This window comes from Homo sapiens, chromosome 2 (assembly GCF_000001405.40).
Source record: "Homo sapiens chromosome 2, GRCh38.p14 Primary Assembly".
Classification (NCBI taxonomy): Eukaryota; Metazoa; Chordata; class Mammalia; order Primates; family Hominidae; genus Homo; species Homo sapiens.
In genome coordinates, this window is record NC_000002.12 from 198,537,480 (window position 1) to 198,556,292 (window position 18,813).

General features: G+C 36.4%; 1 long non-coding RNA gene across 2 annotated transcripts in view; it reads right to left on the reverse strand.

Moving 5' to 3' along the window:
• Nucleotides 1–18,813, reverse strand: part of LOC105373831 (uncharacterized) — a 279,396-nt gene that overhangs the window by 44,545 nt on the left and 216,038 nt on the right. The window contains exon 3 of one of the 2 annotated variants that reach the window (XR_923760.2): nt 15,796–16,059. The exons of the other annotated variant lie outside the window; for it this stretch is intronic. This is a non-coding gene — a long non-coding RNA (uncharacterized LOC105373831). Of the gene's footprint in view, nt 1–15,795; nt 16,060–18,813 lie in introns of those variants that run through there. 2 annotated transcript variants of the gene reach the window in all.

Here is an 18,813-nt window from a genome sequence, read left to right on the forward strand (position 1 = left end):
AGCTCATCAAAGCAGCAGCTTTCTCACTGTCTGGATTCTAACAGGCTGAAAAATCTGAGGAGGTTTCCCTGCTCTGCTCAGAGCTTTCTTTGCACAATGATGTCTTCTGCAGAGAGAACTCAAGAAACATACTCTCCTGAACATGAAGGAGAGTGCGAAAGAGTGTGGGATTTGGAGTCACAAAGACTTGTGTTTGGATCTTAACCCTGTGATCTTGCCCACGCTATGTAATCTCTCTGAGCCTCACTCTCCCTATATATACATTAAAGCATTAATCCTACCTGATATTGGGAACATAATGGTCTGTGTGCAGATGTTCTGACTTCTCTCTGGCAGAGGCCTTCACACGAAGACACTTAGGCATTTTTTAATTTACCAACTTTTCACAAAATGAGTGTCGTGTCTACTGTCACAAATACATGACCTATGTTCTATTTTACATGGCTTAGTTTATGCTCTATTTTGTTTCAGAAAGTTTTCACTCTTCCCACTGTTGGGACATAGGGAGATTATATAAAAAATCAAAGCAAAAACCTTTCAGTATTCAGGCAATTCTACATATTTTGGAGGTAGTGAAGAGACATTGTGATCACATGAAAAGCACCAAGCACAAAGCAGGTGCCTATGAACATACTTCACCCACCAGCCTTGCCACATGGTGCTATGAGAACGTCTGATCCTAGGACATGTAGACAGTGAAGAGGAGGAGCTGCCCAGCACTGGGAAGCCAGGGGCCTACACCTAGCTCAGACATCCACTCTCCTATAATTTTAGGCAAATTATCAGAACCTTGGAACCACCTTTTTAAAGACATATGTATGATCTTTAGTATGTTCCATTATAAACAACTGTTTCTGAAGTTTAGATTTCACAGAACTGTAAGTTAGGAAAAGTATGGGAATCATATACGATTGTCATTTTTCTTTTTCTTTAAGAATAATTTTTAAATTATACTTTAAGTTCTGATTCATGTGTAGAACGTGCAAGTTTGTTATATAGGTATACACATGCCATGGTGGTTTGCTGCACCCATCAACCCGTAATCTACATTAGGTATTTCTCCTAATGCTATCCCTACTCGAGCCCCCCACCCCCTGACAGCCCCGGTGTGTGATGTTCCCCTCCCTGTGTCCATATCTTCTCATTGTTCAACTTCCACTTATGAGCGAGAACATCTGGTTTTCTGTTCTTGTGTTAGTTTGCTGAGAATGATGGTTTCCAGCTTCATCCATGTTCCTGCAAAGGACATGAATGCATCCTTTTTATAGCTGCATAGTATTCCATGGTGTATATGTGCCACATTTTCTTGATCCAGTCTATCATTGATGGGCTGGTTGGTTCCAAGTCTTTGCTATTGTGAACAGTGTTGCAATAAACATACATGTGCGTGTTTCTTTATAGTAGAATGATTTATAATCCTTTGGGTATATACCCAGTAATAGGAAAGCTCGGTCAAATAGTATTTCTGGTTCTAGATCCTTGAGGAATCATCACCGTCTTCCACAATGGTTGATCTAATTTACACTCCCACCAATAGTGTAAAAACGTCCTATTTCTCCACATCCTCTCCAGCATCTGTTGTTTCCTTTTTCATGGTCGCCATTCTAACTGGCATGAGATGGTATCTCACTGTGGTTTTGATTTCCATTTCTCTGATGACCAGTGATGATGAACTTTTTTTCATATGTTTGTTGGCCACATAAATGTCTTCTTTTCCAAAGTGTCTGTTCATATCCTTCTCCCACTTTTTGATGGGGTTGCTTTTTTCTTGTAAATTTGTTTAAGTTCTTTGTAGATTTTGGATATTAGCCCTTTGTCAGATTGATAGATTGCAAAAATTTTCTCCCATTCTGTAGGTAGCTTGTTCACTCTGATGATAGTTTCTTTTGCTGTGCAGAAGCTCTTTAGTTTAATTAGATCCCGTTAGTTAATTTTGGCTTTTGTTGCCATTGCTTTTGGTGTTTTAGTCATGAAGTCCTTGCCCATGCCTATGTCCTGAATGGGATTGCCTAGGTTTTCTTCCAGGGTTTTTATTGTTTTAGGTCTTACATTTAAGTCTTTAACCCACCTTGAGTTAATTTTTGTAGAAGGTGTAAGGAAGGGGTCCGGTTTCAGTTTTCTGCATATGGCTAGCCAGTTTTCCCAACACCATTTATTAAATAGGGCATCCTTTCCCCATTTCTTGTTTTTGTCAGGTTTGTCAAAGATCAGATGGTTGCAGACGTGTGGTGTTATTTCTGAGGCTTCTGTTCTGTTCCATGGGTCCATATATCTGTTTGGTACCAATACTATGCTGTTTTGGTTAGTGTAGCCTTTATAGTATAGTTTGAAGTCAGGTAGCGTGATGCCTCCAGCTTTGTTCTTTTTGCTTAGGATTGTCTTGGCTATACAGGCTCTTTTTTGGCCTTAGAACCATTTTTATCCTCATTTATAAGATTAATGCAATAACATTTATTCCAACCAGCTCACAGAATTATGTGTAAATATGCTTTATTTAACACACTTTATACATATGATGTTTCATCATCATAAGTCACTGGAATAGAAAAAAGAAAATTAGGTTTCCTACAACTGCACAGAAGAAATATTAAGAAACAGACCAAAATATCCGTTTAAGTTCTGAGAAAGAAAGAAAGGTGACTAAAATATAATTAACAAATTTATTATGGTTTATGGTGGTGAATATGGTTCTAAAAACCTGCAATTAAAATATGCTTTACATATTATAGAAGTTCTAATATTTGAATGTAATTTTTCTGGAGAAGGTGAGCATTCTAAGTTATACAAAAACATAATTGTATATATTTGATGACTAAACATTTTTTTTTTTTTTTTTGAGACAGAGTCTTGCTCTGTCGCCCAGGCTGGAGTGCATTGGCGCAATCATGCCTCACTGCAAGCTCCACCTCCCGGGTTCACGCCACTCTCCTGCCTCAGCCTCCCGAGTAGCTGGGGCTACAGGTGCCTGCCACCACGCCCGGCTAATTTTTTAATATTTTTTAGTAGAGATGGGGTTTCACCATGTTAGCCAGGATGGTCTCGATCTCCTCACCTTGGGATCCGCCCGCCTTGGTCTCCCAAAGTGCTGTGATTACAGATGTGAGCCAGCGCACCTGGCCGACTAAACGTATTTTTGTAAGAATCTCTGGCGTCTTAGGGAAAAGGCTCCTTTTGGATAAATTTTATTAAGGAAATAACCAAGATGGCAATTCTGGGGAGCAACTGGCTTGCCCTTGTAAGTTATCTCAGTGGGGAAGTGGCAAGGACGTTTTAGAAGATGGTTGAAGAGAGAGCAGTGATGGACAGTGTAATGGTTAATATTGAGTGTCAACTTGATTAAATTGAAGGATACAAAGTATGGTTTCTGGGTGTGTCTGTGAGGGTGTTGCCAAAGAAGATTAACATTTGAGTCAGGGGACTGGGAGAGGCAGACCCACCCTCAATCTGGGTGAGTACCATCTAATCAGCTGCCAGTGTGGCTAGGATAAAAGCAGGCAGAGGAAGGACTCTACCGGCTAAGTCTTCTGGCCTCCACCTTTCTCCCATGCTGGGTGCTTCCTGCCCTCGAACATCAGACTCCAAGATCTTCAGCTTCTGGACTCTTGGACCCACATCAGTGGTTTTCCAAGGGCTCTTGGGTCTTTGACCACAGACTGAAGGCTGCACTGTCAGCTTCCCTACTTTTGAGGTTTTGGGACTCAGACTGGCTTCCTTGCTCCTCTGCTTGCAGATGTCCTATTGTGGGACTTCACCTGTGTAAGTCAATACTCCTTAATAAACTCCCCTTCATATACACATCTATCCCATTAGTCCTGTCCCTCTAGAGAACCCTGACTAATACAGACAGAATGGCACAATTTAGTCATGCTGCCCCACAGAATTTGTGGAATAGTATGTTTAATGCAAATTAAGTCAATTTCCTCCTTTGGTTTAGTACTTCAACTTCACTTATTCCCACGCAGCCTGATATTTAGTCTCTTTTTTTTTTTTCTTTTTTTGAAACAAGGTCTTGCTCTGTTGCCCAAGCTAGAATATGATCATAACTCACCATAGCCTCAAACTCCCGGCCTCAAGTAATCCTCTCACCTCAGCCTTCCAAGTAGCTGGGACTACAGGTGTGTACCACCACACCCAGCTGATTCGTAAAAATTTTTTATAGAAATGGGGTCTCACTATGTTCTCCAGTCTTGCCTCAAAATCCTGGCCTCAAGCAATCCTCCTGCCTCAGCCTCCCAAAGTGCTGAGATTACAGGCATGAGCCACCTCACCCAGCCTGTGGATAGTCTTGAACAACCATTTAGCAAGCCTGGCTCATGGGTGTGTGACCAGTGTAGTAATACAGCACCTTTGCTCACAAGGTTTCAGTACTTGGGGTTTAATGTTCTCTGGTGGTCCTCTTGAAATTTTTAATTTTTGTCTTGGAATTTGTGTTTTGCAAGTGAAGTTTAACAGAACAACAGAGCCTGCGCTGAGTGTGGGGAACCCCGGTGCAAGTGTGGTCTAGTTCTCACTCTTCTTCCATACACCTTCCATCCCCCACCCCCAACAGAGTCTCAGCTGCCCGTGGGGCAGGAGACCCTGCCAGGTCTCCCTCCATACCTCTGCTATCCTCCAGAAGAGATGGATACAGGTCCTGTGAGGTGGGAGTAGGATGGAGGAACTCACAGTCTGCCTCCACTCTCTGCACTGAGGTGCCCTGGGCACTGGAGAGGGTGGGGTGCCTCATGGTATCCTAACTATCCATCTGGCTACTAGCTGGAAGCACCACAGTGCATTTGGCAGGACGCTTGTTGGGGGCCTGTTGCCCACCCTGAACTAGATGCCAAGGGTGTTCTAGCACAGAAGTAGTAATCCCTGAGGGGTCTCCCATCCTCTATGGGTGAGGGCAGTGACCCATGCTAAGGGGAGATTGATATCCCAGGTGGCTGTTTTACATTTGGTCCAGGTAAATTATGTAGCTGGCCCTGCTTTTCAGCAGTTTCTGAAACAAGATCTAAACTCAAAAGCAGTCAGCTTAATGACATGGTCATGCTCTCAATGAATTGCCAACTAAGTGTATAAGGACCCTAAGTGTGTAATGGCTGTTACACACTCAAGAGATGTAATCAGAAAGGTCACACGAGAATTTTTTATCTGCCCTTCCTCCTTTCTGGTAAGTGCTACTTGGTCTGAATTAAACAGTTGTTCTAACTTTGAGGGGACTCGATAGTAGGGAAGTGCAGAAGTACTTTTTCTGGTGGAAGAATCAAACCATCAGCTACAACAGTAACAAGAAAAAAATACATGAAATGCCTGAAACAATCCACTTTGTCCAGCAGTGTTTGCCCTGTTTTGGGGGTCAATAAAATGCTGAATTTAAAAGCAAGTAAAAAAGCTCTTTCTTATCCCCACATTGGGGTGAGTCGAGGTGGAAAGTGCTAGCTGAGTGTAATGTAACTTCTCATATCTCAGTTGTCTCACGTGAAAATGGGGGTGATAAAAGCCTCATGGAGTTGTGAGGGTACAAAAGGGACCAGAAGGCACTTAGCAGCATGCTCATCACATGCTAAATTCTTAATACAATGAAAATTATTGTTGAAATTGTACCACCACCATCTTCATCATCCATTTCTATTTACAGAAGAGAAAGTCATCAAGAGAAAGAAAACATATCAGCTCAAACCTTATCTACTTTTTAAGTGATACGGATTTTATGTATTCCTCCTCTATGTGCTAAGGAAATAAATAAACATAAATACTAGCAATTCAATAGAATATTGATACATACCGTAAATGGTGATAATATGGTATGTTCAGGTTATAGACAAGGAGAGAGTTTGGGGGGGATGTTCATGCCTGATCACACAGCCCCTTAATGGCAGACAGGGACTAAAAATACCAGGTTATGGATGTTGTGATCCCTCCTCTACTCAGTGTACAATGTGCATTTAGGACCTGAAGCATAAGTAAGCTGTTTTAAGTCCTTATCATGGGCCGAGCATGGTGGCTCATGCCTGTAATCCCAGCACTTTGGGAGGCCGAGGCAGGTGGATCACCTAAGCTCAGGAGTTTGGGAACAGCCTGACCAACATGGTGAAACCCTGGTATATATTAAAAAATACAAAAATTAGCCAGGCATGGTGGCGGGCGCCTGTAATCCCAGCTACTTGGGAGGTTGAGGCAGGAGAATTGCTGAACCCGGGAAGCAGAGGTTGCAGTGAACCGAGATCACAACATTGCACTCCAGCCTGGGCGACAGAGCAAGACTCCTTCTCAAAAAAGAAAAAAAAAATCTTATCGTGACTTATAGCTGTTGCATTTTTACCTTATCATAGCTTATTTTGCTACAGCTATGATTTACACAATGTGATCTTTGGTTAAGAATGCAAAATTCCTGTCATTGTACCTTTCCTCTGCAAAAACATAATTTGCTTTATGATACCTGTTTCATGACAGTTTCCAGAAATCCCGTGTAAGCAAAAGTGGGGACAGATAGCATCATCAAAATCTCTGATAAAGTAGTTATCAATTCTGCAATTGGTCGTTCTTCCTGCACACATATGATGGTATTAATATCCCTGCCTTCAGGTCTGATCCTGTGTGTAAGGGTGGCCCATACAGAACAATGTGTGGTTAATGCAACATGACTCAAATCATTTTAGCTTTCATTTGGCCAGGCCATCCATCAAGAATCTGAAATCAGCAGCCTGATTCTCATTTTGCTCCTTCCCCTTGCAGATCTCCTCTAGGTCCAGGGCTGACATTTACTTCAAAGGGAATGCTCCACATAGAGGAGGGATCCAGGAAAGGAAGAAAAATGAGAATCCGGCTCGTTATTTTAAAGATGGTTAAAATAAACAAGTCAGCAACGCATGTTTTCTTTTAGACTACTCAATTGGAATCTTTTTTGTCGAAGCACAGCAGTTCGTAAAACTTCTATTATCTGATCCCCATGTGAAGGGGATCAAATATATTTTTCATTTGAGGAAGTTGGGTAGAAGTTGGACTGAACTGAATTACACTGATTGCTATTCCCCACAATTCCCAACACACTCTTAAAATACATTTACCTATTATACCCCATAATTTTCTATAGACACTAGCTGCAGAGGAAAAAAGACTTGTACAGATACAGAAACTCAAAAAAGCAAGCCAGTCACTTGTTTTTATACAGAAACCAGCATACTGACATTTTAATGATGCTGGGCTACTGCCATAGTGTGAAATTTTGTATTCAGAACATTTAAAAAAGGAGTGGAGAAAGATAAGTAGGCACCCAATGGAATGTGTTGGATGAGCTTTTGTACAAGAGAGGTACCATGTAATGATTTGACTCCGTGGGTCACCTTTCCTCCTTACAATATAGAAGAGGCCTTTACATTTATGGGATGCACAGCTGAATGTCATGCCTTTTATGGAGGCCTCTTTGGGTCTGATTAATTAGTAATTGGGGCAAGATCTATGCACTTCAGTGACTCTTGCTGCCTTGATTGTAAATTGCAATCTGGTGCTAAATCTCAGCAGGTCACATTGCTGTTTTTGCTGTACCCCAGTGACACAACCGATTAAATCTGTGTAAACAGTATCATTATGAAAATATTTTTGTTATAGGCATGAGGAATTAACACATTTTTATTTTGGATGGAAATTAAAATTATTTGTGGGAGCTTGGTATGTTTTCATCAATTGTCAGTCATCCCAATAGAGCATGTAGTGAAGTAACTGTTTTAATTTTCACAAAGGAAGAAAAAAAGTGCTCAGAGGACTTTTAAAACTGAGAATTAAGATAATTATGTCATTCATAATAGAGATAGCAATGTTACAGGCAAGTATTATGTCACTTAATAGTTAAACAAATAAACAGAAATATGGGAATTAGCCCGCATATTCCCCTTACAATGGAGCACTTTTGATAGAGTAGCTTTGTTTTAATAGATGCCAGTACATTCACACACACACACACACACACACACACACGCACACACACATGCACACACACATTCCCAAATGCTCCCCCTGTTTATAGGCTACATGTTTCCTAAGTTAACTTTAACAGAACTTAAACTGAGTTAGTTGCCTCTGGATAGGAGTAAGAGGTGCTGATGCATAGCTACAGAATGCATTAACACAGAATGATGACTCAGGGCTCCCATAGACCAGGTGGGGTTTCAGCTGGGGGATAAAGGTGAGCCATTAGATAGCCTCGAGCAGTTTGTGTAACACTGTTTATGCTTGATTCTGAAGCAAACAAATTTGATTTCTATACTAGAGCCGCATGGCTGTCTGACCATTAGCACCTTTGAAAAAATTTCTTTTGCAGGCATGGTAAGGTTAAGCAAATGTGTAATTTGCTAGGATTGAAAGCTACATAAGTCATAATGTTTCTAGTTTTTTTCCTGAGTGACTACTACCTAATTCTAAGCAGGCACTAAAATTGTATTGGATAATCCCTAATGATGCTTGATTTCACCTCAATGTGCTGAGGCTGGTAAGTCAACCCAATCAGATGGATGCTCTCCTATTTGCTTCATTTCACAGAGCACCTATTGGAAAAGGCTTAAATAAACTTTAATCAAATATGCCTATTAGGTTACTGAGATATGAATTACTGACCATCTATTTGCTAGCAGCTAAAGCGTAGATACAAGAAAAGTGACTTTTTTCTGTGAGCTCACTAAAATCATTATCAAACTATTAAGGCAAAAAAAGAGAGAGCTAACAAGTCAGCGAATTTGCTATGTGCCAACTTCCACATTTAAACAAAGAATCGGCTGTATACATTTCAAATGACTGCCTTCATAGTATCTAGGCTGAAAACACAAGCAAACAAAAAGAACAAAACTGCCTTTGAAGAGAAGAGGAAGCATTTACTCTACCCTTTAATGCTATACAGATGTTCCACATCCTCTTGACAAGGTGGGAGGAGTTATGTATGGAAAAGACTGGCTTCAGAATATTGACCATCAGTAGAATATTCAGAATGATAGAATTGCATGCTATTATTTGGGGCACTCATGCTTGCTTGATAAGTAAGTTCCTAAAGAAAGACTTTTTGGTATAGATCAGTCTAGAAAAATATTATATTTGCTTAAGGACCTTACATTTTTATTTTTGTACACCATTCACCACTGCAATATTTGGCTTAACTGGAGACTCTGAGGATTGGTCGATTAGATCATTTTAGAAATGCATTTTGTATATCAGATATTACACTTATCTTTCCAAATACCAAAGGGCAAAGATGTTTAAAAAGATCAAAATAAAGGATAAGGAGTAGCAAAGAAAAAAGTTTATTGTTTACTTTTTCAACTATTCACCAAACTGACGCAAAGCATAAAGCCAAAAGCTAGAAAGAAGAAATTCAGGAGAACCGAAGTGTAAACTTGAGTTGTTCAAATAGGAATGAAGAGTAAGAAAATGTAAGAATAATTTATTATTGAATATAAACAAATTCAGAGCGATTACATTTTCTTATCAAGTAATTTATTGCTAATTCTGACATTCTATGTTGTACATACTATAACTTATATGATGTCAATAAAATTTAACTCATTAGAGTCTCTTGGAAATAATGTTTTAAAAAGTGTAAAAGGCAAATTTTGAGCAGCATTATGTGCAATATAATTTTTACTGGCCTATTAATAAACTCAAGTGTTATCTTGATTTAGAAAAATAAATAGGATAATCACTCCTTTCTAGTAAATACTTGCAAAGCAGTTTTTAGAATATAATATACCAAGAAGTCAGGACACACAGAAACACCCACAGTTAAATGCAGGGACTCCATACACTTGCATATCTTCTTCTCCAGAAAAACAGCCCTTGTGGCATGTAATGTGAAAAATTAATTCATCATATTTCTGTCAAAAAGTATGATTTTCTATCATAAAGGTGATGTGTGCTTATTATACAAGTATCAGAAAAGGTAATAAAGTATAAAATAATAAATCACCCATGGCTCCAACTCCTACAAACACACACTAACTTCTGTCTTCTATGCATTGCTTATGGATATGTTGGTCACTCTCTATATGAAATCTTGAGACTTCTGTGCAGAATTCTTTAGTAATGTAAGTTCCTTCATTATGGGTAAATGAACTTCTTTTGACATTCCTAGATAATCCTTTATGTTTCCTTGTTTCACAAACGACAATGTACATGGCAGAAATATGATGTTATTACAATGAAAGTTTATTAATATAAGACCTTGGAATGTAAATCTTCTAAAAAGTGTTTCACACTTACGAATGACAAAACTGTTGTTGAAACCAGAAGTCATATGTAGGAATGAGATTGCTGTAGAGGAAGTAGAGCATCCTCTTGTTTATGTCATTATGTTGCTACTTCTCTCATTATTCACACTTAAGCCCACTCCTATCCTGACTAAAGACAATTTGGTAAGGCGATAATGAGGATCTAATAAACACAAAGTAAGTTCAAAATCTCATAAAATCAATTAGCCACTTTGTATTTGTGAAAACTTTCAGAAATATGGATATTTGTATATAACAAAATCTAGAGGTGAATAACCGATCAGTGATTTGGGGCTAAGGCCAGGAAAGAGTGGAAGTGGCATGGGTATGGCTATAAAAGAGTAACATGAGAGATCCTTGCGGTGATGGAAATTTCTGTATCTTGTCTATATATATAAATAAATACTCTGGTTGTGATATTGCACTATAGTTTTGCAAGATGTTACTCTGGGTAACATTGAGGAAAAGGTGTATGAAATCTTTCTTTGTTATTTCTTACAACTTCATATGACTCTATAATTATCTCAAAATAAACAGCTTAATAAAAACATAAGTTAATTCTGTTTTTGCAGATACCCCTGACAATATAGATATATGCATATCTACATGCATATATACAGATGCCTTGCCTAAATTCTTTTAGGTCTATACCATTTTGATTTCAGACATCAATTCAGCTTTCTCTGTAGAGGTTGTTTATGTTGAATATATTTATTTTGATTTGAAATATCATTTAATTTTAATAATTATGCATTATTTTGAAAAATGTAGTGATAAGAATGGTTATTTCTGAGAGCATGTTAGAGTGCAGTGGTTAATGCATGGGCATGGGGGTCAGATTACCTGGTTTGAATCCTTTATGTACAGTGTGAATTTAGGTAAGTTATTTAATCACTCTGTGCCTCAATTTGTTCATCTCTTAAAATGAAGATAACAGCAGGTATCTCATAGTGTTATTGTAAAAATTAGACAAGTTAATATGTTAAAAAAACTTCTAATAGAGCCTGACACATAGTAAGAACTATGTACATATTAGCTGTTCTGTGACAATAATGATGAGGATACCTTATAAGCATCAGCTCATATATAACTCATGTCAATCCTAGCTGTAGTCACCATTATTAACCTTGTTATAGATGGCTAAGCAGGTTAAGTGCCTTGCCCAAGGTCACAAAACTTGTAATGTTTTAAGGGACTCTACATTAATCAATTTACTATATGTTTGTTAGTGAGAGAGTCCAAAATTTTGTTATAATAAAATAACATTATATTTTGTTAGTCACATAAACGTCTGATTTTCTATTTAAACAATAGTGATTTAGAAATGACACTATAAATTTTTTTAAAAAACAGCAGCTTTCTACCTAAATTTTTACTATTTCTTGGCTCTACTGGGCCTCGAAGGGCATCTTCTCTCTGCTATTTTGGTCACTCAGTTTTTCATCCTGGACAAACCCAAAGAGTGAAGAGGTGTATAAAAACAAAAGTGAGGAAGCAACCCGAAGTTCGTTCTCAAAGCTTCAGAAATGTTGAGGTTTTGGGTTCAGTCCAATAAAGGGTGAAGATTCAGGTCAAATCTTATTTTATATAAAATGACTACCTTTGTTTTGAAACAATCTAGTAGTTAGAATTGTGGCAGGTTCTGGTTTTAGCTAGCCTTTGAGGGAAAATGCTGAAATTAATCTTTTGAATGAAGAAGGGACTCAACGATTTACCAGAGCTACTAAAACAGGGACTTCCTGGAAAAGGATGACTGTTTATTAAACAGATTGTAATATCAAGTAAAGAGTTCTTTGGGGGTTGTGTTATATATGTGAGAGTAGGCATGTGTGTTTGTATGTTTGCCAAATATATGGGTATGCAAAAAATCATTGCCAAATTAAAAAAATTGAAATCATGTATCAAATAAGAGATAGTATATCTGGTTATTGAGAGCATGGGCTTTGGGGCCAGATTTCTTCAGTTCAGACTTTGGCTTTGCCTCTTAACCCATTTTCCATTTGCCCCAAGAAATGAGTGCTGGCAGCGAGCTGCACTTTTTTTTCCTAAACAGGACATGGGTTAGGTATGTATGACCTTGTACCTTAGCTTCCTAATCTGTGAGAATGGGAATATAAAAATAGTAGCCTTATACAGTGGTTTTGGAGAATAAATAATGAATATATGTAAAACACCTAAAAGACTGTATAGTACATAGAGAGTACTTAATACATTTTAGCTGTGCTAAGTAATTGCATAATTAAATGCTAATCATGTGCTGAGTTCTGACTTAAGCTATTTCCAGATACAAATTAAAAATAAGAAAATTTCCTGAATATAAGTAATTTCAAACTAGTTAAGACAGTTAAATATATGCAAAGAAATGGAAGGATAATTATAACGCAACACAGAAGGGGATATAAATCTAATGTATCAGTTAGAAATGCATTTGGCTGCAAGTAACAAAACAGCCCAACTATAATTCTTTCTTTCTTTATTTTTAAATAGGGATATACATTATAGAGGATGTTTGGTGCTGAAATATTGTTAGCAGTTAGAAATGCATTTGGCTGCAAGTAACAAAACAGCCCAACTATAATTCTTTCTTTATATATTTTTAAATAGGGATATACATTATAGAGGATGTTTGGTGCTGAAATGTTGTTAGTATATTGACGAGTGCCAATGTTTCTGCAGCTCTCTCAACATTTTCCTAATAGTTTCAAATCATCACATTCTCCTTTAAGTCAGAAAGAAATTAGGGAAGGCAGTGAATCTCTTTAGAAAGTTAAAGCTTTCCCCCAAATCATACTGTCTAGCAGACTTTTCCAAATGCTTTTCAAAATCCATGCAAATCCAAATACTATTCTTTTTTATCTGAGTTGCAGGGCCACACTTACCTGAATTGTAATCTGGAATAGTAGGTTCCAGGATTGCCATAATTGGTCTAACCTAATCACAATCCATTGCTTTGGGGCTAGGCATATATTTGTGATAAACAAAAGCAGAGTTCTGTCAGTAATTATGGGAAAATCACTATGGAGTAGGCAATTAAAGGCGTTTGCCATCCACAGCCTCAGCAAAAGAGAGAGTATGGGTTAGTTAGGTGAGGATGCCAGGAGGTAAAAGGATGAAAGGATGACTCTTTTAAATGAACTGCTGATTGTGGATTAGTAGAGACTTCAAAGACAAGACAGAGTAAAGAAATAGCAAAAGCAAACCAGGCAGGGAAAAGTAAGATGTATAAAGAAAGTCGGACTAGATTAGATCTCCCTAAAAAGAAGCAGCCATAAGGATTGAGAATGATAAATTTGGAGAGATGTGGAGAAGCCAGCTGATGGAGAGAACAGCTTAGTAGTTTCCTTGCTTCACCCTACCACCAAATAGACCAACCAATAAATCACCAAGACTTTGGAATTCACAAAAATTGGGAATATACATTATTTTTAAGTACTCATAGAATATTTTTAAAAATGGAAAACCTCAATAAATTCCGACATTAGTCCATGTGGTCTAACCACAATAAAATAAAACTAGAAATTATCACAATTTCTAAACAAGTATAAAATTATAATTTATAAACACAAAAATATTCTGACTTCAGTATTAAATATATATACATATATGCATATATTTATACATATATATGAAATAAAAATACATATACACATTAATGTACGTGTGTGATAACACTTGAGTTAAAAAACAATCAGATCTATAATTATAGATTATTTAGAAAATAAAAAATAATTTAGAATTCTATCTACCAAAGCACATAAGATGTAGCCAAAAACTATTCTTAGAGAAAGATTATTTACCTTAAGGGCTGTCATTATTAAGCAAGAAACCAAAGGGACAGAGTGAGATTAACTGAGCCTACCTGGAAAGCTGGAAGAAAACAGCAAACAAACAACAAAAGCAGGAAAAAGGAAAAGAAAAGGCCGGGCGCGGTGCCTTACGCTTGTAATCCCAGTACTTTGGGAGATCGAGGCGGCGGATCACGAGCTCAGGAATTTGACACCAGCCTGGCCAGTATGGTGAAACCCCATCTCTACTAAAAATACAAAAATTAGCCGGGCGTGGTGGTGCGTGCCTGTAGTCCCAGCTACTGGGAGGCTGAGGCAGACGAATCACTTGAACCCGGCAGGCGGAGGTTGCAGTGAGCCAAGCCTGCATCACTGCACTCCAGCCTAGGCGACAGAGCAAGGATCCATCTCAAAAAAAAAAAAGGAAAATAAAAATATTCCAAATTCAACCTGTAAAGTTTATATAATTACAAACAAAGAAGAAATAAAATTGATTTTAAGAGCACATCTGACAACATTTGATAAATATTAGTGAATTTAACTAGTATAAAAATATAGATGACCAAATATTATTACAAACTAGTAAAACCTGAATAGATTATTGACTATAGAAAATGCTGAAAAAATTATCAAAGAAAATTATCAAAGAAGCTTCCCCTTTAAAAGCCGCTAGGCACACAGAAGTTTTTGGATAACGTCATTCAAAAAAACCTCAAGAAACAGAAATTCTTAAGTCATCTAACATCTTGTATAGAATAAAAGAGAAAAAATTTCCCAATTATAAGAAAAGTCTGGAAATTCTGATATCAGAAATGCTGTTTTCAGAATAAAAGGATGAATAAAAGATTAAGAAAAAAGAAAGAAAAAATAAGGGAACTATGGATTAAACTCACAAATACAGTACAAATATTTTTAGTAAATGATTGGAGATAGAATTCAGCTATTCACTCAAAGATAGTTCAATATTAGGAAATTTATTAATATAAATTACTATACCTCTAGGACAGAAAGAAAAAGATGAGCATGAGCATCCCCTTCATTGCTTTAAATCTATTTGATAAGTTTGAAGAACATTTATATTTTAGTTAAAAATACTTTTACTATGCTGGAAATATATTTCCAAACACTATAAACTTTATAGCAAACCAACAATTAGCATCATGTATGTTTGTGTAACACTAGAAGAATTGCATTTAAATCAACCTAAAGTCAGGAAAAAGACAAACACACTTGCTATCTGTCATCAATTTTATATTACAATGCTAAGAAAGAGGTAGCCAGTAAAATCAATTAAAATGTTAAAAATCAGTATGAATATTGAAATGAAAAAACTAATTATTTGATGATCCACTAGAAATACCAAGAATAAAAAACAGTTGCAATAGACAACTTATATGGTATAGAATATTACTATATTACTAATATTACTATTAAATGACATATATCATCAAATATGCAAGTCTTCGTAGCTATCCTGTATGCCAGTAAGTGACTTTTAAAATCATATGAAAACAGATACCATTAACAACTACAGCAAAAATAATTAAATGTCTGATATCAAATTTATTAAGACGTATCCAAGTTTCATCCAAAAAAAATTGACTTCCTAATGGGATTTTCAAAAAATACATAGTTAAAGTGAAATACACCTTGTGCTTAGCTGTAAATGTTTAATATTACAAATACATGAAATCTTCCTGAATTCAATTACAAATTTAATTCAACTCTAATTAAAGTATGGATCAAATTTGTTTAAAAACTTGAAAATATATCTGACGTTTGTAGAATATATCTAGTAAAGGAAATTCTGGAAGAAAACATTAATTGGAGGGAATGAAGCCCCCCTGACACCATAGAGTTAATCATGTATTCCTTCCCAGTTACCTGTACCTTCCTTTTTCAGGACTTCTCATACTTTGTAGGTATAGATTTACTTGTGAGATTGTTGTCCATCTTCTTCATTAAACTGTAAGCCACATAATGGCAACAGCTCTGTCTCTTTTGCTCATAGTGTCAGCTATTATGTCTTATAAAAAGCAGACCTGCAATAAATATTTGTTGAACAGTTAATTAGAGAAATGTTTTCAAAATTAATGAATTACAGTGATAAAAGCTGTCTGATGTCACCATCATAATAGAGGGTAAACCTGTGGACCAGAACAAAAAATACAGAAGCTCACATAAATATATGCTTAAAAAATGTTAAAAAATGTTTTATTGACATCATTGTGGATAAGACAGACTATTCAGTAAATGGTATTGGGACACATGACTAATTATCAGGAAACAAACTAGTTACATTTTCACACATTATGGCAAAATAAATTCTAGGGGAATTAATTTCATAAATGTAAAAATAGATTAAAACTTCTAAGTACTGTAAAAAAAAATAGGGATAGAAGAAGCCTCTTTAAATCTTCTCCTGCCTTATATTAACACTGCTGAGAAGCATTAATTTGTATAAATACATATGCCACTAGTTCAATTACTTTCTTAATTGAATTAAGGTGGGATTGCCAGTTGAAAGGATATGCACATGGTGAGAACCTTGCAAATTTTCCTCTTCAAATCCCTTTAACAATTCACACACCTGTTGGAGGGCAAGCGCTTGCCCATTTTCCTGTGCTAGGTGCTCACACTCACATCACTGGTTTAAAGTAGTTAAACTTAGGATGTTTTCCCTCTCTTTAGACTGGTTTCTCTAAGATAGTTCTACAAATCCAATACTTACAAAAAGCCCAATTTGTAGTGAGATAAGACAATTTCTTTTCAAATGATGAATAATTAAATGGTCAACAGTATAGGACTCGTTTATCTAGTGAAGGTGTATCTATACAATCGAATGCTATGCAATCATCAAAAATGGTGTCCCTCTATATTAAGTGATATGAAATACCATTTAAAATATATTGAACTATAATGTAAGTGATTTGATTCTAAATTTAAGTAAAATATGTATTTATATGAATAAATTTGCTTGAAAAAAGGATAAGCAAATATACAGCAAAATAGTAATAAAGACTGTCTCAACAGGCTTGCAAGTGATTTTAATACTAATTTCTTTATTTTCATAATTTCCATTTTTAAATTTGTTCTTCCAATGATTATATATTACTTATGTAGTATAACATTTCCTTAACAAGGCCAAAGGAGCACATAATCTGTTCCCAACATTTTGATTTATTTATTGAGCTAAATTTATTTAAATTGTCATTACCCATACCATATGGTTTTGTTATGCCACATAATAGGCATCCAATAAATATTTATGTAATACTTCAATCAGAACCATATATATTGAGGGCCATTACTGATAAGTCACGTGTACCCTACTTTAAAAAATTTATATAGCTACAACTAAAATCTCATGTATAATGGTTAATAATATCTAAACGAATGAAAATTTATTAGTAGATTGAAGTATGTTGGGGGGAATCAATATCTGTTGACCACCTATTAAGTATCAATTCCTGACTATCTTCTTCAGCTGTATTTTTATAATGACAGGCAAATCATAGTAGAAAAAGGTGGAAAACAGTTTTACCAATTTTGTTAACTTTAAGCGTAAATCATATTATACTTGGACAGGAAATTTAATTATGAGATCCCTGGATGCCACAATAAAACAATGTAGTTATTGATTAAAAATTAAAAAGAAGCACACAAATATATTATTTCTTCAGGGGTGAATTTTCATACCATAAATATCCAAGAAAAAATTTTACCTGGTATCTTAGAGATAATTTAATGGGTGATGTCTCTAATAGCAGCTTTCCTGGCAATACAACATATTTTTTCAGACAGGTATGTTTTTTATTGACTCTGAATTAAAACAAAATTTAGCGAAAATATTTTAATAGAAAGCTAATTTTCCTAGGCCTTTTATCATGAGTCAGAGACTAGCACTTAGAACCCCTTGGGAAATGGATGGGTACATGATTTTGTTTCTCAAACGTATTTTTTCAACCAAATGTTGGCAGTTATTGAATGGTCTCTCAGTTTAATAATTCTGAGCTTTCTAATACCCGGGACACCAGAATTCTATGTTATTGGTTAAAATGAGACTCAAAAACTGAATGCTAGATTTTTCAGGTCCCAAGATTGACAGTCTGTTATGGCAATTAAATATTTTAATTTTTATTCTTTTTTCAGTTTTTGTAGAGACAGTCTTGCTATGTTGCCTTGACTGGTCTTGAATTCGTGGCCTCAAGTGATCCTCTTCCTCCCAAAGTGCTGGGATTATAGGCATGAGCCACCACATCCAGGCTTCACTTGCATTCTTTTCCCACAAAACAAACTGTCCCATCTCCACATGGAGGGACCATTTTTTCTCAAGGTTTTCATGTGATCAGGGACCAGTTTGAGACTAAATAGTAGAACACGTATTTTTTAATTGGGAATAGTCACACAGTGATAATCTCCAGGTATTAATAATGGCCAACATTTATTGCACAAACATGTCAGGAGCCATGCTAAGTGCTTTACATGTATTGTCTCATTTAATCCTCATATCCATCAGTGAAGATAGAATACATTTCTCTTTATTTCGCAGATTGGAAAGTAAGACAAGTGCTTGAATCACATAGTTAGCAGGGGTTGGCGCTGAGATGGAACCCAGGTTGTCTGTCGACAGCACTTAAGGCCTGACAATTCTGCTATCCCGCCTCTTATAACCATTTATCTCCAATCTCCTGCCACCACCTTAGTTCAAGTCCTCATCACCTCTTGCCAGAGTTCTGAGCCAGAGACACCCTTCATAGGTGTACTGCCAAAATTTGAAATGCAAATCAGTTTCA